This window comes from Homo sapiens, chromosome 9 (assembly GCF_000001405.40).
Source record: "Homo sapiens chromosome 9, GRCh38.p14 Primary Assembly".
Lineage (NCBI taxonomy): Eukaryota > Metazoa > Chordata > Mammalia > Primates > Hominidae > Homo > Homo sapiens.
In genome coordinates this window covers 70,338,117-70,360,618 of record NC_000009.12, presented here as the reverse complement: position 1 = coordinate 70,360,618, position 22,502 = coordinate 70,338,117, and the positions used below count along the sequence as shown (strand labels likewise).

Genomic DNA, 22,502 nt, shown 5'->3' with positions numbered 1-22,502 from the left:
CTCCCCCAAATCCGACAATCAAATAAATGAATCTTACTGAAGTTCGACTTGTGCTAATCTGCCACTTAAAAAACAAGATAAAAACAAAACTCTGCCAGGTGTGGTGGCTCACGCCTGTAATCCCAGCACTTTGGGAGGGCGAGCCAGATCACTTGAAGTCAGGAGTTCAAGACCAGCCTAGCCAACATGGCAAAACACTGTCTCTACTAAAAATACAGAAATTAGCTGGGTGGGCCAGGTGCGGTGGCTCTCACCTGTAATCCCAACACTTTGGGAGGCTGAGGAAGGCGGATCACCTGAGGTCAGAAGTTCGAGATCAGCCTGGTCAACACGGTGAAACCCCATCTCTACCAAAAATACAAAAATTAGCCAGGTGTAGTTGTATGCACCTGTAATCCCAGCTACTCAGGAGGCTGAGGCAGGAGAATTGCTTGAACCCGGGAGGCAGAGGTTGCATTGAGCCGAGATCGCACCATTGCACTCCAGCCTGGGTGACAGAGCGAGACTTGGTCTCAAAAAAAAAAAAAAAAAAAAAGAGAGAAATTAGCCAGGCATGGTGGCAGGTGCCTATAATCCCAGCTACTTAAGAGGCTGAGGCAGGAGAATCGCTTAAACCCGCGAGGTGCAGGTTGCAGTGAGCCGAGATTTCATCACTGCACTCCAGCCTGGGCAACAGAGCAATTCCTCTCAAAAACAAAAAACAAAACTCTAAAGCTAAGAGGAAATTCTGTACCTTGTCCTCCATTACCTAGCCCCACCCTAGGGGCTACTTACCTTCCTATTATTTTTTTTACTACTGTCTTTAGCCATTGTTATAAACCATTAAAATATTCCAGCATAAGAAGCACGATATTACATGCTAGGTTAAATTACTAGTGCAGTCAGTTGCCCTAATTAGTAGCTCACGTAAAGCCCATACTAGAGTGGTAGCTATCATAAGTCCTGCTAATATTGATTAATAGCACACAGCAGCTTTGTTAATTAGCACCATGAATATCAGAAATTGGTTTTTTATTAAATTGATGGTTGTAATAAGCATGAAGAATGTTAAAAATGGGTTCTGAGAAATTAGAGGTTTTCAAGATATGTATTAATAGAGTGGTTAAAATGTTCAGACAGTCCCCATTATTTCATGATCTGGGTTTAAGAATCCAGGAAGGCCAATATCCCCCACATCCTTAGGGGTGATTTCTAAAGCCTAAACACTTAAGAGTCCTATGATCCGACAATAGGTCTAAGGATTTCTAGTTGTTTCATGCTCATTTAAAGGAGGCCGAGGCGGGTGGATCATGAGGTCAGGAAAGCAAGACCATCCTGGTGAACACGGTGAAACCCCGTCTCTATTAAAAAATTACAAAAAATTAGCCGGGCATAGTGGCACATGCCTTGTAATCTCAGCAACTCAAGAGGCTGAGGCAGGAGAATCGCTTGAACTTGGGAGGCAGAGGTTGCAGTGAGCCAAGATCGTGCCATTGCACTCCAGCCTGGGCAACAAGAGGGAAACTCCATCTCAAAATAATAATAATAATAATAATAATAATAATAATAATAATTTAAAAAAAAGGATAACCAGCCTCGGGAATGTCATCACCTTTGGTATAAGTGAACCTTTCATGTGTGATCAAATTAACCCAAATGATAAAGAGCTAGAATTCTACCATGCTTACGAAACAAGTTATAATGAACAGTTTTGTGCTTGCTTGTGATAGATGTTTAACAAATGTCTGTATGTGAGGCAGAATTTGACCTAAACTTACTTTTATTGTAACCTGCTAACATGGTTGTGGAGAAATAGCTAACTCTCATCCACATTAAACTTGGTTAGTCTTTTACCAACAAAACCCTGAGTTGCCCATGATCAGACTGTCTTTGATCAGTTGGCTGTTTATTTAAATATTTAAAAAATATTTAACCTTTCTACTTCCTATTAAGTACCCTATGACAGCCTGCCTGCATGCTTTTCCCTCTTTCACTGTGAATACCCACATTTTATAACTTCAGGAAGCCTTCCAGATGCCAGGTAGATCCCAATCCCTCTCAATTCCAGTAGTGTTCAATCTGTCATTTACAGCACTTTGAAATTTGTCTTGTGTCTTTGTGATCCACTTTATAGCACTTGGTAGATTTTCTTCAGAGTGGAATAAGATGCAGGCCATATTTTTCATTCCTCAAACTATGTAGTATAGTGCTTTGCTTACAGTACAGGTAAATAAGGATTAAATGAATAATGGAATATGCTCAAATCACTGTCGGTGTTGGGAGAAAGAGCATTCATTCTTTCATGCTACAGTTACTGAGTCCTTACTACGTACTCAGCATTTTTCTAGGCTCTGGGCTGGAAGCAATCAACACAACCAAGTCTCTGTCTTCAGAGAACTTATATTTTAATGGAGAAGACAAAATATATCATGGTTAAGTAGAGACAAAGGTTATGAAGAAAAAGAATGCATAGTAAGACAGCAGAGTGGGGCAGGGGTGCTACTTCAGATGGGGCAGACAGGGTTAATAAGTAGGAACCCTGAAGTCTGTGATGACTCTGGATTTTTATTGTGTGATGGAAAAGCTACCAGGTCCTTGCTTTGAAGACACTGTCAGTAGGCCATAGGGTAACTACTTATTTCTTGGGTCTTGTGGCAGACTCCTGACTGTCCTCCAATATTCACCCTCTCATTGTGTATCAGGGTGGCTGGAGTTTATGTATACACATAGCCATACAGCTACAGATGACATATTCAGTTCTCTCTTGCAGCTAGCTCAGGCTATGTAGCTAAGTTCTGGACATGAGCAAAAGTAAAATGTGTACCTCTTGCAGATCATGCTCTTAAAAGAAGTGGTCACAGTCTCCCTTTGTCCCTCTCTCTTTTTTTTTTAAGAGACAGGGTCTTGCCATCTTGCTCAGGCTGGTCTTGAACTCCTGGCCTCGTGATCCTCCTACCTCAGCCTCCGGAATAGCTGGGATTACAGGCATAAGCTACAGTGCCAGCTCTTTATTCCTTTAGATGGTTTGGATACAGGTATGTTGGCAAGAACTAAATCAGCCATCTTGGACTATGAGAGGGAACACACAGGTTCCTGAGGAGAGAAGAGCAACCAACAGAAGTTGAGAGAGGAGTCGGCCTATCAGCCCCAGCATGCTTATGTTCTGTTAATAATAAACTATCTTGTATACATTATATTTTGGTCTTTGTTACAGTAGAAGAAATCTGTACCCTAATTTGGGGGCGTATTGGAGAAGCAGTATCTTACCCACAAGGAAGTTAATTACAGAAGTAGGGACTGCTTATGTAATAACTCCAACGACTCAAAAAGCCAAGGTAGTTTGATATTTGATAGCAAGGCATGATGGTATTTTCTAAGAAAAAAAACAATCCATTGGACCTGGTTATTCAGTCTCACCTCTGCCATTTACCAACAGTAAGAACTTGAGCCCGGGCGTAGTGACTCAGGCCTGTAATCTCAGCACTTTGGGAGGCTGAGGCAGGATAGCTTGAGGCCAGGAGTTTGAGGCTAGCCTGGGTAACCAAAGCAATAAACAGTCTTAAAGAAAAAGAATAAAAAAAGAACTTGAAAGACAACATTTTTAAGTCCCTGTTTCTCCATCAACAGTACAAAGTTGTTATATATGACAATGTAGATTTAAATACTTATAAAGCAAAAAAAAAAAAAAAAAAATCTCCTTTAGGGGCTGGGGGCCGGGTGCAGTGGCTCACGCCTGTAATCCCGGCACTTTGGGAGGCCAAGGCGGGCAGATCACCTGAGGTCAGGAGTTCGAGACCAGCCTGGCAAACATAGTGAAACCCTGTCTCTACTAAAAATACAAAAAATTAGCTGGGCGTGGTGGTGCGCACCTGTAATCCCAGCTACTCGGGAGGCTGAGGTAGGAGAATCGCTTGAACCCAGGAGGAGGTTGCAGTGAACCGAGATTGCACCATCGCACTCCAGCCTGGGCAATAAGAGCAAGTCTCTGTCTCAAACAAACAAAAAACTTATCAAATAACTTCTTTCCATGATTCCTGACTGAAAAGAAGGGGATGGCCTAAATCACTCAGAAGGTCCCTCCTAAATCTAACAACTAATCTCTGATGGTACAGAATTTCACTGTCAGAGATCACTGGGACTAAAATTCTAGGCTGGGTGCAGCGCCTCACACCTGTAATCCCAGCACTTTGGGAGGCCGAGAGAGGTTTGAGGCTGGTTTGAGACAAGCCTAGGCAATATACCAAGACCTCATCTCTTTTTTAAAATAAATTCTAAATAATATGAAAGGAATGTAAAATTTACCATTCTATCATAACATTCATTGGGCAGCTTGTCCCAAATCTTTCCTGCACTGGAATTCATTAACCCACTCCTTAAATTTGGCAGAAATGGTCAAGTGACCCTCTTGGCACCCTTTCCCCTCAACCTTCACTCTAAACGCATGACCCTGGATGCCAAGAGCGTGTAACAGTCTCCTCAGGCAAAAGGAAATTAAAGTTTACTAACAAAAGCATGGTCAGACAGGTAAGGTACTATTTGTGGAAGGAGAACGTCTTTCAGGTGTTTCTGACCTACCTAAAAATAACTAACCTACGTTGCAGCCTCTCTGATAAAGGCAGGGCCAGGGCCAGGGCCAGGGCCAGAGCTGTTTTTAGGTTGCCCTCAGCTTCACCAAGTCCTCTTAGCACAGCTTAGAATGAAGCTAACCAGAGGAGACCTGCTCTCTCTCTTTGGGATTATACAAAGCTGGCTTTTTTGAAAATATCTAAATCTTCCAGCCAATCACCAGTCATTTATTTTGCAGCAATAAAGTTATAATTCAACATTAAAAAATAAATAAAATCCCCCATACCTAACCTTTTTGGTGGAAATAAAAAGCCCAAATTGTCAACATAGTCATATCTCCCAAATGTGCAAATTCTATTAATTATAAAATTTCCAAATTATATATCAATATAAAATAATGAGATGGAATATCTTTAAAGAAGCTCATCTGACTAACTTATATTTGAATTTAACAAGGTAACAAGATCTATAAAAATAACTATCAGCACTCCCCAATGCTCAGTCTGTAGGTATTGGCATCCTTTGAACTATTTATCAATAGACTACAAAATAATCTCTACTTTCACATTATTTAGAATTTTCAGACCTGGGTGTATAAAATTCACAGTACATTTTTCAAGATTTAAAATATGAGAAGATACATAAACATTAATAATGTACTCACTATAATGCTATGTGTCCCAATAGGCCCCGATCTCATTTGCTCCTCTCAACAACTCTGTGAATTAGGTATGATTCTCATTTCACCAATGATGAGACTATCAAGTAACTTGTAAGTGAAAGTCTGCCTGACTCAAAAATATATTTTAAAAAAATTACTTTATATAGTAGCTTAATGTAAGGAGTAATAAGTGAAAATTGGCTATTGGGCATGTTAGCAAACATAGTGTTTAAACATAAAAACAGTTAACCTATGTTGCAGCCTCTCTGATGAATACTCGGCCTTGTAACTTGGCTTCTTTAAATGGTTTAAACCTTTTTTTCATGAGTGTTTATTGCTTCTATTAGACTGTGATTTCACTGCAGGCAGAAAAGGGACTAAATTTTCTACCCTTTCGAACACTAATAGACTGCTGAACACTATTTTGTAAATGTGGGTACTTAACAGACCTTTTTTTAGTAAATCTGAAAACCAAAATGACTCTTAATAAGGTTCAGAGTATAAAAAATAGTTCTCACTTAAAATAACATACACCAAAAGAATATAAAAATATTGATTTATTACCAACAAAGCAGGATTTCCCAGTTTTTTCAATTACACACACACAAGCACACACAATAGCAGAATGAAATTACATTTTTCACATCTAAAGGTTTATACCTCAAAGAAAATAGGCATGTGTCCAAAAGACAATTAGAAAGCAAGAAATCTTTCCTTTTACTTTGAATATGGAAAATCTTTTAACAGAGACTCTTTCCAGGCAAACCAATGAAGATTTAGGCATAGAAAATGCTTGTCACCTTAAGGTTTTTAAATATAACTGTATTCACCAAATCAAGTTTTTACTAGAAGTTTTTACGATTTTTATGTAATTAAAAATCAACTTTTGGCCGGGTGCAGGGGCTCACGCCTATAATCCCAGCACTTTGGGAGGCCGAGGCGGGTGGATCACAAGGTCAGGAGTTCGAGACCAGCCTGGCCAATATGCTGAAACCCCATCTCTACTAAAAGTATAAAAAATTAGCTGGGTGTGGTGGGACGCGCCTGTTGTCCCAGTTACTTGGGAGGCTGAGGCAGGAGAATCGCTTGAACCCGGGAGGCGGAGGTTGCAGTAAGCCGAGATCACGCCACTGCACTCCAGCCTGGGCAACAGAGTGAGACTCCATCTCAAAAAAACAAACAAACAAACAAACAAAAAAACTTTTGTTTTAAGTGGCTGAGACTATGTGCTAGACTTACTACTGTTTAATATGCTAAAATGATACATAATTTATTCTTCACAGCTCAAAATTCAATGTAAAGCCAAATATTAATTTTGTCCAGTAGAGAAATTAAATGTTTACAAACAAAGTATGGAACAGTTGTTGGCCTATGTAAATTGAAATGTAATTGACCATTTTATTTTCAAACATGCTTAATCTTCACGTGTCTTTTTCACATTGATACTCATTTTGCAGAAATAAGATGACTGGTACTAATTTAGACAATAAACAAACTACACCAAGCACATTTTAGTAAAGATATTTTGGTGGAACGCAAAGTAATTAACGATGAAAACATTTGGTAATATCCATTTACTAATATGTTACCAAGTTCTTCAATGTTTACATGACTTGCTCATATTAGTAAAAATGTCATTTTAAAATATTTTCACACTTCATGCACTGGAGTTAGTTTAAGAAGGGAAGGCTCTTTTAAAATGTTTATAAAGAAGAAAATACCTTTTTAAAGAGAAAATGTCTAAGTGAGAGGACATAAACTTATGGCTCATTATTTTTTGACCTAGTTAAGAATATAAATTTCAATGGCTACTTAAGAATATACAAAACCCAAACTGAAAGCAATTCTTCAATTTATTCAGGCAAGCAAGTCAAAAAAATAATTTTGTCATTACTGGCACAGATCCAATCCACTGTTCAAAGACATGACTTTGGACTGTCTATTTTCCTATAAGATTTATTTTTTAAAAGAAGATAATTTGTTTGGTTCTACTAATTAGTATAACTTAGAGATAAACAAATGATTTTCCCATTTAATTCTTTTGCGGTGAAAGAAAACAGTTTAAACTAGATTTTCTAAGATAATGGGTACATCAACATTGTAAGAAAGGCCCTATAGGCTTAAGTTCTAAAAACATTACGGTTTTAAAGAAATCAATGCTTTTCCATCACTCTTTACATAACACTGAGAAATTTCAAATATAAATTGTAGAAACCAGTATATGAAATTTTAAGAAAAATCTTACTAAAAATAATTATAAAATGCTTTTAGAAATGTAAGATGTAAAATATAATTGACTTTAAATAAAATAAAAAAAAGCAACCCCTGCCCCCACACTTTAAAAGGTTATTCTTTAAAAACCCTTGTCACCTAATTTTATTCTCAGTCAATCTTTTGGTTGTATTTTGCATCATCTAGTGGCCACCTTGCAGCATTTCAAAGCAGTTCTGCTACCATTTTTGAACCCCAGTGCTTTTTTCCCCTTGAAATACCAATAAAATTATAGCATCAAGTTTCATAAAACTTTCTTTTAAAGGCCCATAAAATTCCATTTCCTACTGGAGATAAGGTAATCTTTTTTAATAGGAAGAAATGACTAGATCTGTCATAAATTATTACTATACATTAGACATTTTCATATCAATTTTTTAAAATTAAATATAACATTGGGAGAAACTAGGACTTAGGCTCTAGAGTCATCTTTAGGCTCTAAAAGTAATTAAAGTTACTCTGCAATTAAAGCTCAGGGCTACCATATAAGTAACTTCTTGTGATTAACCCTTCTTCCACTGTACCTTTGATTTGTAATATTAAGTACATTTTAACATGAGAACTGAATGACTCATGGTCAGAGTGCCAAGAACTCAAGTTCAACCAAGACTGAAGAAGACTTAACTTTTACTACCAGCTGCTATTTTGGAAAGGTCATTATAGTTTCCATTATCAACCTATTTGTATTTAAAAGCAGGTTTCCAAAAATAACTGCTTTTCGTTTTAGTGAATCTCCTTTTATTCAGTTGAGCCATACTTATAAACAGAATTTAACAAAAAAAATTCCCAAGTTCCCTCTCTTTACTTTTATTAAGAAGGTTGAGTGAATGTAATACGGCGCCGCCGCCTTTGGAAAGCCTTTAAATTCCATGTGTTTGGTTCCAGCATATGAGGGCCATTGTAGACAAACAAAACTGTCATCTTTTCAGAATAAGGAAGATTTTGCAGGAGCTGTAAGTATTAAAACAAATTGTCATATAAGCTATATACTGAGAAGTATAGTTTTCCAACCTTACATGTGTACAGTCAAATGTATTATTTTATTTGCAATATTAATAAAACTTTTTTTTTCCCACTCTGCTGCTCAGGCCGGAGTACAGAGGTGCGATCTCAGCTCAGTGCAACCTCCACCACCCAGATTCAAGAGATTCTCGTGCCTCAGCCAGCCTCCAGAGTAGCTGGGATTACAGGCATGCACCATCAGGCCCAGCTAACTTTTTGTATTTTTAGTACAGACAGGGTTTCACCATGTTGGCCAGGCTGGTCTCGAACTCCTGACCTCAGGTGATCTGCCCGCCTTGGCTTCCCAAAGTGCTGAGATTACAGGTGTGAGCCACTGTCCCCAGCCAATAAGACTCTTAAGAAGCTCTTAAACACCTCAATATAAACCTTGCCAGACTGTAATCCTTACCTAAATTAGCATACCTGTAGCCTGGCCTAAGGAACAATCAAAATAAGGAATAATCCAGCCCTCTAGATTCACAGGATAACTGGGATTATTCAACTTCCTTGGCAGACCTTGGAAAAGAGTATGTCCTCCACAATTTTCCTAGGGTAGATACTTTCACTTTTTATTTATAAACACTTCTCAAGCAACTTCTTTGATAGCCTGGTATCCTGAAAAGTGTGTAACAGGGACATTTGTAGACTAAGGTATTTGGCAAGCAGTAGGGTATTAACAGATGTGACTATTCCACAAGACTATCTACTGAAAAAAAGAAGACAGATGACACTATTTAATAAAAATTTGAATGTAGGATGGGCAAAAACAATTTTTTTTTTTTTTTTGGAACAAGGTCTCATTCTGTCACCCAGGCTGCAGTGCAGTGGTGTGATCTGGGCTCACTGAAACCTCCACCTCCCAGACTCAAGCGATCCTCATGCCTCAGCTTCCCAAGTAGCTGGGACTATAGGCGCATGCTGCCACGTCCAGCTAATTTTTGTATTTTTTTTGTAGAGATGGGGTTTTGCCATGTTGCCCAGGCTGGTCTTGAACTCCTGGGCTCAAGTGATCCACCTGCCTTGGCCTCAAAAAGTAGTGGGACTACAGGTATGAGCCAGTGCACCTGGCCAAAATTTTTCATGAATACTTAAAATGGAAAAAATCTGGTTACATTAAAAACATATCTTTGAATACATATGCTTTGTAATTTACTCACAGCACTAGATTTAGCAAAAGAAAATTTCCCATTGCAATGGTTTTAGATTATGAAAAATTATCTACAAAGATAATTCTGTTTTTATCAGAATTAACCTGTGAATAGAAGATGTTGGGATACTTAAATTTCTCCTGGGCCAGCTTAGTACTAGTGGCAAATAAAGAGGAAGGGCAGTATATGACAAGAGAGGCTTTTTTGGGAAAATGAAGAGCCAGAGTCTTAAGGGTTGTATTCCCCACTCATCTTTCAGTGCTGAAAGAGTACCTTTTCTAGAAGAGAAATGAGACAATCTCAATTTTAGAACATAATAATATGCCTCCTACCTTTCTTCCTCTGATTAAGCATGACACTGGAATTTGTCCCTTTAATAATGTAAATATTACTGTTAACCTTTTAAATTCCTTTTTTGGGAGTGTTCCTGCTAATATGTGCATGTTGGGACAAAAACTGTATGATTATGTCACAGGAGATTTCTGAGTATATGACCACTTTTAGGTTACTTTTTACCTACCTTTGGTGTTATGAAAAAGTATTGAGATGTATTTTCTTTACAGGCAGTATTTACAACCATTTCAAACACTCTCCGTTCATTGATTGGGTCCATTCCCTAAACAATGGCAACAATAATGATTACATTTATTCCTGTTACAGGATATAAGAAGATCCAAGTAACAGAACAATCACCATACCTGATTGATTTCATCAACTACTCTGAATGGACATCTATTTAGCTCCTGAAGTGCCATCAAGTATAACATGGTAGAAACACTTCTTTCACCTCCACTTTGATGATGAGGAGTTAATTCATGCAGTTGAGTACTACTTCGAAATTTGACTCTAATTCGAATTCCATATTTATCATAATCTTCCTATAAAACATTTAAAAAGTGATGAAAAATGAGTTTCCTCTGGTAATGTCATTCTATTATTTGAAAATGGATTGAATTAACTGAGTAAGAGTAAAGAACTCAAAATTTAGTGACACTAGTTTAAATATGTAACAATAAATATATATGTATTTTTAAAAATAATAAATATTAAGCAAACAGTTACTATCTAAAAGCTTTAAGGGTTTTCAAAGAACTATTTAGATAAGGAAATTATTCAGATTAAATTAACATTTTCCTCCTCTATACCATTCTATTCAAGTTTAGTAGGCTTCCCCAAGAGTTTTTAGAAATTACTGAGCGAGGAACTCTGTCCTCAAAAAGCACTATCTATTCTAGTTCCAAAATGCTAGGTTCTTAAACTGTAGGTGAAAGCAATTAGAACATAATGGAGTGTCATGCTCTCTTGTGCTAGAGAAGTGGTTGTGTATGGTAACTGCAGAGGGCCAAGAATCCCCCTAACTTCTTCAGTCGGTTAAGAAGGAAAAAAACAAGGTAGGAATTACACATATACTTTGAAAACTTAAGTCATACATACACACAATACTCAGCAAAAAGCAAGCCTGGCACGTAATAGGTGCTCAATAAATATTTGTTGTAATGAGTACATTAGTGTTTTATAAATGTTGCCAAAACTGAGGATGCTCTAAGGTTTACTATTCTTATTGATGGCACTTCTATGTCAGGTTCAGATTTACCTTAAAAATGAGATACATAACTTACTAATTAGGCCGGGTGTGGTGGCTCATGCCTGTAATCCCAGCAATTTGGGAGGCCGAGGGGGGTGGATCACTTCAGGTCAGGAGTTTGAGACCAGCCTGGCCAACATGGGGAAATCCCATCTCTACTAAAAATACAAAAATTAGCCGGGCATGGTGGCAGGCATCTGTAATCCCAGCTACTTGGGAGTCTGAAGCCGAAGAATAGCTTGAACTCAGGAGGTGGAGGTTGCAGTGAGCCAAGATTGCGCCACTGCGCTCCAGCCTGGGTGAGAGTGAGACTTTGTCTCAAAAAACCAAAACGAAAAACATGAAACTTACTAATTAAAGGTTATCTATTAATTGAATAGAGCTTTAAGGTCTAAGATAGTACTGAGCAAGAGAAAGATATAATACAACCCACATATGTAATTTTCAATTTTCTAGTAGTTACTTTTTTTTTGAGACAGAGTCTCTGTCCCACTCTGTTGCCCGGGCTGGTCTCAAACTCCTGAATTCAAGTGATCCTCCTGCCTTGGCCTCCCAAAGTGGGATTAGGCATAAGCCACAGCACCTGGCCTTTGCCTGTCTTAAAGAAAAATTAATTTTAGCCCAAATTGCAATGCATAAACTTACAGCACAAGAAATTAGTAGCAAATTTCCCACTATTTCCATTCTTATAAATTCTTAAATTCTTTTTTTTTTTTGAGACAAGGTCTGGTTTTGTTGCCCAGGCTGGAGTGCAGTGGCACCATTTTGGCTCACTGGAACCTCCACCTTCCAGGCTCAAGTCATCCTTGCACCTCAGCCTCCAGAGTAGCTGGGACCACAGGTACATACCACCGCACCCAGCTAATTTTTGTATTTTTACAGAGATGCGATTTTGCCATGTTGCCCAGGCTGGTCTCAAACCCGTGAGCTCAAGCTATCTGCCTGCCTCAGCCTCACAAAGTGCTGAGATTACAGGCGTGAGCCACCACACCTGACCATGAATTCTTAAATTCTTTATTAAAAAAAAAAAGACACTGATATACACTATATTTCAAACTAATCTGTTTGAGTCTTCTAACTCCAGCTGTGGTAGCTTTATAACGTATTTATTCAATACAACTGAATAACCATTACTCAGATGTATAAAAAGAGTTACAAGGTATTAGTCACTAATTCCAAACATAACCCCCCCCAAAAAAAGTGACCCTAATGGAATCCCACAGGTGGTTTTCTCCTTTCTTTCAACATTTTGGTAAACAAAACTTTTCACAGATATAACTCAAAAGTAAATAAATAATTTATATGTACTTTAAGCATATAATTAAAATTATTTGCCAGAAATATTATTTATTTCAAATGCAATTTTACCTCATTTTCTGTATGGAGATCAACTTCACCAGCACACTGCATGGAACTAAAAAAATTGCTGAATTTTTCATTAATTTTTTCTACCAGCTCTTTTAAAGGATTAAGCCACCTTTCTTTTACCTACAAATAAAGGCAATATAAAAACACAATTTAAAAGCAGTATTACTATATTCTGACACACAATTTTATGTAAATTTTATATCAGTATCAGTCTGGGCATAACACACTTCTCTTAGAAGCATGTCATCTCATTTTCCATTATTCTACATTCCCATTTCATTAATAATCACATGATAAAAAGATTAAAAACTAAAAAATTACCTGTGAAATGTTTTCCCTGTATTGATCTAGTTCAACTTTCTTTCCCTTTAGTTCCTCAGTTAACTGTTCTATTTCTTCTTCTCTTTTTGTATATTCCTGAACAATCTGGCAGGGGAAAAAAAAACTTCTTTAAGATAAATCTACCAAAGGATAAAACTATATACAATTTTGCATTGATTAAAACATTAAATGAAAATGCCAATTGTGCTGCATTGTTTGTATGCAAATAATATATGCTCTTATTACATACTGAAAGTGACATTTTTTATCCTTGAAAAAATAGACATTGCAGTATTTCAGGTTAGCCCAACTATTCTTTTTATAAAGAAAAGGCACAGAACATTGTGTTCCTTAGGAAGAATCTATTTAAAATTCTAATAGATTCAGAATCTGGCATTTAAAGTACATTGTTCCTGCTGTCTAGCTTATTATTACCAAGAGCTCTAGTACAGAGTGGGAGGCAAGTACTGGAGGGAACTCTGTGTGTGTATGTGTGTGTATGGGGAGGGTGGTGGTGGTGGTTGGATGCAGAATGGGAATAGAGAAACAGGCATACTGTAGGATTCAGTCCCGTGAAGCAGGAAGCTCTTGATCTTTCTTCAGTTAATAAAGCATCAATTTCATCCAATGTGTTTGGAAGGTCTTGGAAAACCTAAGAAAAAAATTGCCCGTCATTATAGATACAATGAAAACAGTTCCATTCAAATAGTTAAAAGAAAAATAATCTGCTGAATAAGTTATCTATCTGTTCAACAGCATGCTGGCACACAAGAATACAAAGGAATAATAAACAGGGTCATTTGCCTTCAAAAGCTTGTACTTTAAAGAAAACAAAATGTATGTACTGGATAACACTTTAAGGCAATGTATTGATGTTGAGTATTAAAACAAGCAGTACATATCATATAGGCTAGGAATTTAGAGAAAAGAAGTATCAGTTCATGCTACAGGAGAGTTAAGAGAATTCAAAGGCCTAGAATTCATCTCCGGGCCTTAAAGCAAATGGCTAGGGAGGAGCAAGGCAGAGGGAAAACAGGAGCTTGGGAAAAAAGAATGAGTACTGCATACCATGGGGAGTGAGGAGTTGTGTCCATTTGGAATGGTGGGTACTTGCTGAATTGGTAGAATGGGTCCAGAATATGTGGGGCATTGAAAGAGAGCAAGAAGTTAGAACTTTATACTGCACTTATGAAGAACTAAAAAAGCATCCTGAGAATCTAATTACTTTGACAGTTGAATTTCACCACAGTACTATCTTCTGAGTCCATGCCATGGGGACAAATTAGAACATATACTTTTTTTTTTGAGGGGAGGCAATCAGTACATTGTTTGGCCTAGCACAACCTGCAAAGGCTATATACTACATGGTACAAAATGAATCCTGAAACCCTGAAAAAGATCTTGACATATTAATCTAATATCTTAAACTTATTATTTTAACCTCTTAGAAAGCAGTTCAACCTCTATAGACCTTCAAATATTCCTCTGTTGAATCTCTGACTTACTGAGATGTAAGCTCATGTGTCCAACATTTATTTACTCGATATCCTCACTTGACTCTAATAGGCATCTTAAATTTAAGATGGTGAAACAGAATCTGGATTTCACCCACCTTCCCTATCACTTTAAGCAACCCTGTTTCTCCTTCAATCTTCTCCATTCCAGTAAATGGCATCGTAATTTGTTCAGGTGAAAAATTTAGGGGTTCTCTCTCTCATCCTTCATGTCAAATCCATCAGCAAGTCTTGCTGGCTCTGTCACTAAAAGATACCTAAGACTTGTCAACTTCTCCCTCTCTCTCTTCAGTGCTATCACCCTAATTCATGCCATCATGTATCTCTTACGTGGTCCAAAGAAATGACCTTCTAAATGGTTTCACTGCTTCCATTCTTGTATCCCTACTTTATCCTCCATCTAGAAGAAAAGTTAGAGTGCTCGTTCATAAAAGTAGTAATGTCACTTTTCCATTTAAGATCCTCCACTGGAGTCCATCCCAAAAGAATACAACCTTAATTGCTTGTATAGTCTACAAGGCCTACATAATCTTGGCTTCTGCCTTCTTCTCTGCTTGGATAATTTTTAACCCCAATGAGATTCCTTTTATTCTGAAACATCCCAAATATACTTCTGTCTTGGGCGTTGTCTGAGCTATTTTCTCTGTCTGGAATACTTTTGCCTGACATCTTCACTTGACTGATCTGTTCTCTTCATTCAGGACTGTTATAAAATGGTATCTTTTCAAAGGAGGCTTCCCTGACCAAGTTCCCATCCATGTCACTCCATCTCCTCACCCTGTTTTATTTTTCTTAGCATCTCTTGTTATCTGACATTATCTGATTTTTGATTTGTGTTTTCATCTACCCAATCTTCCAGACTAGAATATAAGTTTCAGCTGAGAAGGAAGTATGTCTGTCTTGTACAATGCTTGACATATAAGAGGTAATTAATACATTTTAATGAATATAATCATCTCCTAATTTTGATTCAAAAACAGTATGACTTATCAAGAATAGAATCATGCTTTTTCTGAAAAAAAAAATTAGTAGATTGTACTTATATTTATTTTATAACAACACAATGTATTCTGAAGACATTCTACTGTTTTTAGAAACAAGCTTCTCAATTTGTTTTAAAGATATCTACTAAGTTCCTAGTATGTATCCAATTAGTCGAATCCATTCTCTGTGATTTCTGTGTCTGATATCATAAAATAAATCAATTGAGGATTTGAAAATTATAATCCATTAATTTTTTTCCAGTTGTTTATATCTTTAGTAGCCATTTCATTATCTACTGAAATAGATAACATTTGAAATTAAGAATTTTAAAGACACACCAATACTAGATATTTTAAAACTTATTTTCTAATTTCATTTTGACATTATTCTGAATAGGTATCTAGGCAAAGTATCATCCCCACTTGTCACAGAGGTACATAATTAACGGTGGAATGTGACTAAAGGGCAGCATCTCCTAATTTTACTGAGTGGTATGTCAGGATAAAAAATATAATGGAAATAAGACCTCTTTTTTCCTTTTCTTATTGGCAGATGTTAGCCTTAAATATTCAGCTCTCATTGAACCCTAATTAAACACCCCAATTTCCAGGGAAACATTTTCATTTTCCCTTTATTTTTAAAATATTCTATTTATTATTTCTGATATACCAATTACTGGTACAATGTTTCCATGAAAAACTATATATGTTCCAACTGTACCCATTAAAAGGCATTTGTATTGGAAGAATAAATGTTATAGTACCAATACCATTGATCTCTTAAGCAACATTATTTTATATATATATATATATTCAGTTTAAAAATGTGGAAAAACTCCCTATTTTTTACGACACATCATGTTTTTCACGGCCTGTTACAATGGCTAAGATTCCATAATCTTAAAAATGTTAAATATGGCAATTGTAGCATTATATACTTTTTATACTTACTGTCTGGTATTCTTGAGGAAGAGTCTGCTCTGCACCCAGGTTACATACTTGCCTAGCTCTTTTCATAAGTTCCTTGCATTTCTGCAATAATCTCTGTCTATTTTCATCCAATTCAATGAAATGTTGCTATTAAAAAAATTTATTTTGAAAATTTGAATGTTAATGTTAAAGCAGAGGGATGTTTTATTAAACTACCACATATTAAATATTGTTGAATTCTGATTATAATGATAATCAAATTATCTGAAACTGTTTCTTAAATAATGACTCTTTTTATTATAAAGGTTAAACTTGAACTTAAACTTTAAAATACATCAGCACATCAATAACCTGGCATTTCTCTAATCCATAAGAGGTGTAAAATTTAAATTTTACTGCCTTTTCCTGAAAGTCTAGCTTAGCTCCATGTAATTATATTTATTTATTTATTTACTTATTTATTTATTTTTTTGAGACAATCTTGCTCTGTCACCCAGGCTGGAGTGCAGTGACGTGACGTGATCTCAGCTCACTGCAACCTCTGCCTCCCAGATTCAAGTGATTATCACGCCTCAGCCTCCCGAGTAGCTGAGATTACAGATGTGTACCACCATGCCTGGCTAATTTTTGTGTTTTTAGTAGAGACAAGGTTTCACCATGTTGGCCAGGCTGGTCTCCAACTCCTGGCCTCAAGTGATCCATCCGCCTTGGGCTCTCAAAAGTGCTGGGATTACAGGTGTGAGCCACCAGGCCCGGTCATGTAATTATATTATAATCAGATTTGAGATACACAGTACACAGGCTTCATATGACAAAACTCAGCACTCAAATGTAGTTAGAACCTTTAAATCATGCTTGATAGTTTTCCAAGTACCTTCCATGTATTTATTTATTCATGGACCTATTTATTCCTTCACCAAATAATTACTGAGAACCTATTAAATGCCAGTATTATAATCCGCATTGGTCACAGAAAGGTGAATAAGGACACAGGATCATTATCATAACAGAAACAGATACTCTTTACCGAATGCTTATGTGCTGGGCCCTTGGCTAGGTGCTTCGCATACATTATTCCCTTTATTTCTCACAAACACTGCACAGTAATATTATCCTCATTTAGCGCATTAAAAAAAAAAAAAAGAGACTGAAAGGAATTAAGTAACTTGCCCAAGCCCACACATTTAGTTAGAGACTGTCATGATTCAGATCCCTGTCTGCTTACAGGACACATGCTCTTTTCATTACAGCATGGCACCTCTCAGCAGGAGCAGATTGGACAGAGTATGTATGTAGGGAAGGTCAGAGTGGTCACAGAAGCTATGACAACTTAACAGCCTTAAATGACAAGAAATAAGGAACATATACAGCAGATGACATTCCAAGGACAGGTGATTATGAATTTTAAGGCATATGAGCCTCAAAGACCTGCTTATTTAAGAAACAAGTAATCTAATGTGGCTGGAGGAGAGGAATTTGTAAGGATGTAAAAGATCAGAGTTGGTAAAATGGACAAGGGCCAGACTGCAAAAATTTCACATGCAACAGGGAAGGTATCTCATCTACTAAATGTCTTCTGTAGGTCAAGCACTGTTACAACCACTATCCTGTTAATTGTTCTAATCCCAATTATGATCTTAAAGAAAAGGGTTATCTCTATTTGTAGATGTGGCTCAGACACATTAAGAAACTTGCCCAAGGTTACGGAACTAGCAGATTTCTGAGAAATAAAACAGGTCTGGTTTGCTCTTTTCACTAACCCTCAAACTCTGGTTGGCACAAAAAACAGCTGGGGGTGGGGGATATGGAATGGCCTAAGCACATTCCAGATCTACTTGATTAATATCTCCGGGGCTGAGGTCTGGACACCTGTATTATTATTATTTATTATTTTATTATTATTACACTTTTAAGTTTTAGGGTACATGTGCACAATGTGCAGGTTAGTTACATATGTATACATGTGCCATGCTGGTGTGCTGCACCCATTAACTCGTCATCTAGCATTAGGTATATCTCCCAATGCTATCCCTCCCCCCTCCCCCCACCCCACAACAGTCCCCAGACTGTGATGTTCCCCTTCCTGTGTCCATGTGTTCTCATTGTTCAATTCCTACCTATGAGTGAGAACATGCGGTGTTTGGTTTTTTGTCCTTGTGATAGATTACTGAGAATGATGATTTCCAATTTCATCCATGTCCCTACAAAGGACATGAACTCATCATTTTTTATGGCTGCATAGTATTCCATGGTGTATATGTGCCACATTTTCTTAATCCAGTCTATCATTGTTGGACATTTGGGTTGGTTCCAAGTCTTTGCTATTGTGAATAGTGCCGCAATAAATATACGTGTGCATGTGTCTTTATAGCAGCATGATTTATAGTCCTTTGGGTATATACCCAGTAATGGGATGGCTGGGTCAAATGGTATTTCTAGTTCTAGATCCTTGAGGAATTGCCACACTGTCTTCCACAATGGTTGAACTAGTTTACAGTCCCACCAACAGTGTAAAAGTGTTCCTATTTCTCCACATCCTCTCCAGCACTTGTTGTTTCCTGACTTTTTAATGAATGCCATTCTAACTGGGGACACCTGTATTATTAAGCGGGCCCTCAGGTGACTTTTATGCACATGGGTTTGATAGCAAATAAACTAAACCAAGACAATAGTTATGAAAAGTGAAAGGATAGATACTGGACCAAACTGAAAATGCAAGCAATCCTTTATACTAACCACTTAGTACTATAGTTTCCTTGAATAAATTCCTCAGTCCCTATAGCTTGAGAGAAATAAAAGAAAATGTTAAAGACTCCCAATCACCCCTACTCTGCTAAGGACCATTGTACTCAGGCAAATGCAAAACAAGGAGCAGCTGGATAGAAACTAAATACTCCTAATTTCTTCTATTCCTGATTCTTGTTCCTCTGGACTTTGCTAAAATAAAGTATTAGAACATTATGGAAAAGAAGTATCAATGAGTTGATAATTTGAAGCTCTGGACTTAGAAAGACAAAACCTCATTTAATAGTTTGTTTGGTGGCATATGTGTAATAAAATATTTATCTGAGAAAATATTCTATACATATGTGTTTGTGATAGAGATCTTCACATGGCACTTGTTTTGCTTTTTGTTTTTAAAACCACAATTCTTGCTGAGCTTTTTAAGGGTAGAAGTGGGAAGGCATATATAATTATATCAGATAATGCTGTAAAGTCAGACTAGTGAAAAGGCTTTATCTACATTTCTGCTTAGAGTCTAGCCTTTAATAGTTAATAGAGAATAGAAAATACTCCATCTGTTTAAGATGTAAGATAAGAAATGAGTGAAATGTACAAAATATCCCCCACTAACATCTCAAAAAAGATTACTTTGTAGTTATATACCCTAGAAAAAATTTGTAAGTATTATCTTTTTTTCTAAAATTCTTTTTATGGAAAGTTCACTTCTCATGGAAATTGTACAGAAATACCTCGACATTAAACAAGAAAAAGCTTTTCTAAGAAGGCCCTCTTGTGGAAGAAGTAAGAATTATTCACAGAATTTCTTATGAAAACTGTATATATTAAAACTGTTATTTTAGTAACAGTTCATTAAAATAAGAATCAAATAAAATGAAAACCATTTTCTATATGAATAAAATTAAGTTCTAGGTATCATCAACTTTTACTAAAACATTAGCTGTAAATTAACACATTTCTCCCTCATTTTTCCTTTAATAAAACATCATTCCAATTTAGTTGATTTCAAATTCAAATGTTAACCATTTGTTTTAGTTACCAGACAGAATACACACTTAAAAATATAAAAATCATTCATTTAGAAAGTCAACTTTAAATTTTAATGTAATGCTAGAAATTTAGAATAATAATCTTAACTTTTAATACACAAGACCATAAATTCTACTTAAACTAATTTAATCATAAACAATAAAATAATGGGAATAATACTATTTCTTTGTAAAATGTTTTCTTCAAAATTTCATCTAAGTAAAAAAAAAAGTCTCCTCTGAAACAGTTCTTTTTTGAGGGAGTGGCAAGCAGGTAGGCAGAAGAGAGGTCAGATGAAAAGCACAGAGCTCCTAAATTTGGTATTAGAATAAGCAAATAAATGTAACAACTTTCCATCTTTATAACTAATATTAATTCTGATGTAAATCTACACTTTTAAAGGAAACACTGGCTTCATGCTAAGCAGCACACTAGGCATCTTGATATATATTATTAAACTGAATATCATAATATCCCTCCAAATTAGGTAGGTATCATACTTATGGCTGCAGAGAATGATTAAGCTTGGAGTGGTTAGGAAACCTGCCCATGGTCAAAAACGAAATAACAAGAAATTTTTATCGACCTCTGTATTTGGATTCACACACAGCTTACTAATTTGTCCTAAAAATAGCCCATAAGTTAGTGACATTACCAAAGAGAGGCTTCCCACCATCTACCTTTTTCAGGGGATGTTTTATAGGTCTGTTGCCCTATTTACCTTCCAAAAATCTGAGAAAGTATCAAACTCCACGGTCCCCTCATAAATACAATCTCCCCTGAAATTTTGTGTCAATCTTCTTTTGTGAATTTATTTTCAAGAAAGAAAAAAGGACAAAACCAAGTGGTAGCAATAGTTCCTCAGAGCAACCTGCCATGTGTTCAAAGGGACAAGTAGGAAAAAAAAATTTCTCTTTGGTTCAAGTGAAGCTGCATAGCAGGAACAGATGAGATAGATAAAAATCATGTGCAGGTAAATGGCAGCAAACATGAGAAGAAAACAAGAGTAGGTAAAAGAGAAAGTGAACTATCATACACCTATTCTACTACATAATTTTAGTCATCATTCTTGACTCTTTTTTTTTTTTTTTGAGACGGAGTCTCGCTCTGTCGCCCAGGCTGGAGTGCAGTGGTGTGATCTCGGCTCACTGCAAGCTCCGCCTCCCAGATTCACGCCATTCTCCTGCCTCAGCCTCCCGAGTAGCTGGGACTACAGGCGCCCGCCACCACACCCGGCTAATTTTTTGTATTTTTAGTAGAGATGGGGTTTCACCACGTTAGCCAGGATGGTCTCGATCTCCCGACCTCGTGATCCACCCACCTCGGCCTCCCAAAGTGCTGGGATTACAGGCGTGAGCCACCGTGCCCAGCCCATTCTTGACTCTTTCAAATGTGTGGCTAATGACTACGATCAGACAGCAACAAACATTTATTAAGTATGCACAACAAGAAATGAAAGAACCTTACAAAAGGGCTGGTAAAGCATTTATCAATGAAAAGCATTAAAAAATTTTATTTTATTTTTTTTTAGAGATAAGGTCTTACAGTGTTGCCCAGGATGGACTTGAACTCCTGGACTCAAGTGATCCTCCTATCTCAGCCTCCAAAGTAGTTGGAACTATAGGTACACTCAGATCATTTAAGAACTTTCAAATCAACATATGAATAAGAAAAACAGAGTGGTGTAAAATATTGCTGAGGAAATGCAAAATAAAGTCAGAGGTAGTATTAAGTAAAGTTACTTATGTGTGTCAAGGAAGAGTTCTGGTCTTAAAAGCAGCAATGGACTCAGAATGAAAAAGGTGAACAAACGATACGGGAAAGATACAGAGGTTATGAACAATGGTAGGAACACTGGAATAGCCAACCAAGGTAAAAAAGGCTAGAAGTTGGAAGTAGACATTAGAAGACTACTGTAAAGCTTTGGATGATGTATAATATTATAAAGCTGTAGATTTCTGCAGCAGAATATAAAAATCAGCACAATTTTTTTTTTCTGGCAGTTAAACGAGTGCAAAATTCATAAAAAGTGAGGCCACAGCTATTAGGACTTAATGCCTAGACAGAGTGGTAGCCGTGATAGTTAGAAAGAGGTGAACTAGTAATGTGGTAATGGCTAAATTGGGCAAAGGGCAAGGAAAAGGAACAAGAACAAAAAGAGAATCAAAATGTGCTAAGTTTCTCCAGTTAACTTTAAAATTATGCAAATGGCTGGGCATGGTGGCACATGCCTGTAATCCCAGTACTTTGGGAGGCCGAGGTGGGAAGACTGCTTGAGGTTAGGAGTTTGAGACCAGCCAGGGCAACATAGTGAGAACTATCCCTACAAATAAAAAATTAGCCAGGTGTGTGGCATGCACCTGTAGTCCTAGATACCTGGAAAGGCTGAGGCAGGAGGATTGC

The 22,502-nt window shown here is 36.9% G+C and overlaps 1 protein-coding gene across 12 annotated transcripts in view; it reads right to left on the bottom strand.

Annotated features, from left to right (window-relative positions):
* Window positions 1–5,745: 5,745 nt before the first annotated feature.
* The window catches only part of SMC5 (structural maintenance of chromosomes 5), a 95,896-nt gene continuing 79,139 nt past the window's right edge, over window positions 5,746–22,502 (bottom strand). For 6 of the 12 annotated variants that reach the window (NM_015110.4, XM_005251839.3, XM_005251838.3 and 3 more), the window contains 8 exons: window positions 16,350–16,475; window positions 13,970–14,014; window positions 13,458–13,553; window positions 12,902–13,006; window positions 12,581–12,700; window positions 10,326–10,505; window positions 10,148–10,243; window positions 5,746–8,428 (listed from right to left, as the gene is read on the bottom strand). In NM_015110.4, the coding sequence (NP_055925.2) occupies window positions 8,288–8,428; window positions 10,148–10,243; window positions 10,326–10,505; window positions 12,581–12,700; window positions 12,902–13,006; window positions 13,458–13,553; window positions 13,970–14,014; window positions 16,350–16,475 (909 nt within the window). In that variant the 3' untranslated portion in view covers window positions 5,746–8,287. Of the gene's footprint in view, window positions 8,429–8,771; window positions 9,095–10,147; window positions 10,244–10,325; window positions 10,506–12,580; window positions 12,701–12,897; window positions 13,007–13,457; window positions 13,554–13,969; window positions 14,041–16,349; window positions 16,476–22,502 lie in introns of those variants that run through there. The other 6 variants (XM_005251837.3, XM_047423034.1, XM_047423033.1 and 3 more) reach the window with 3 other exon arrangements.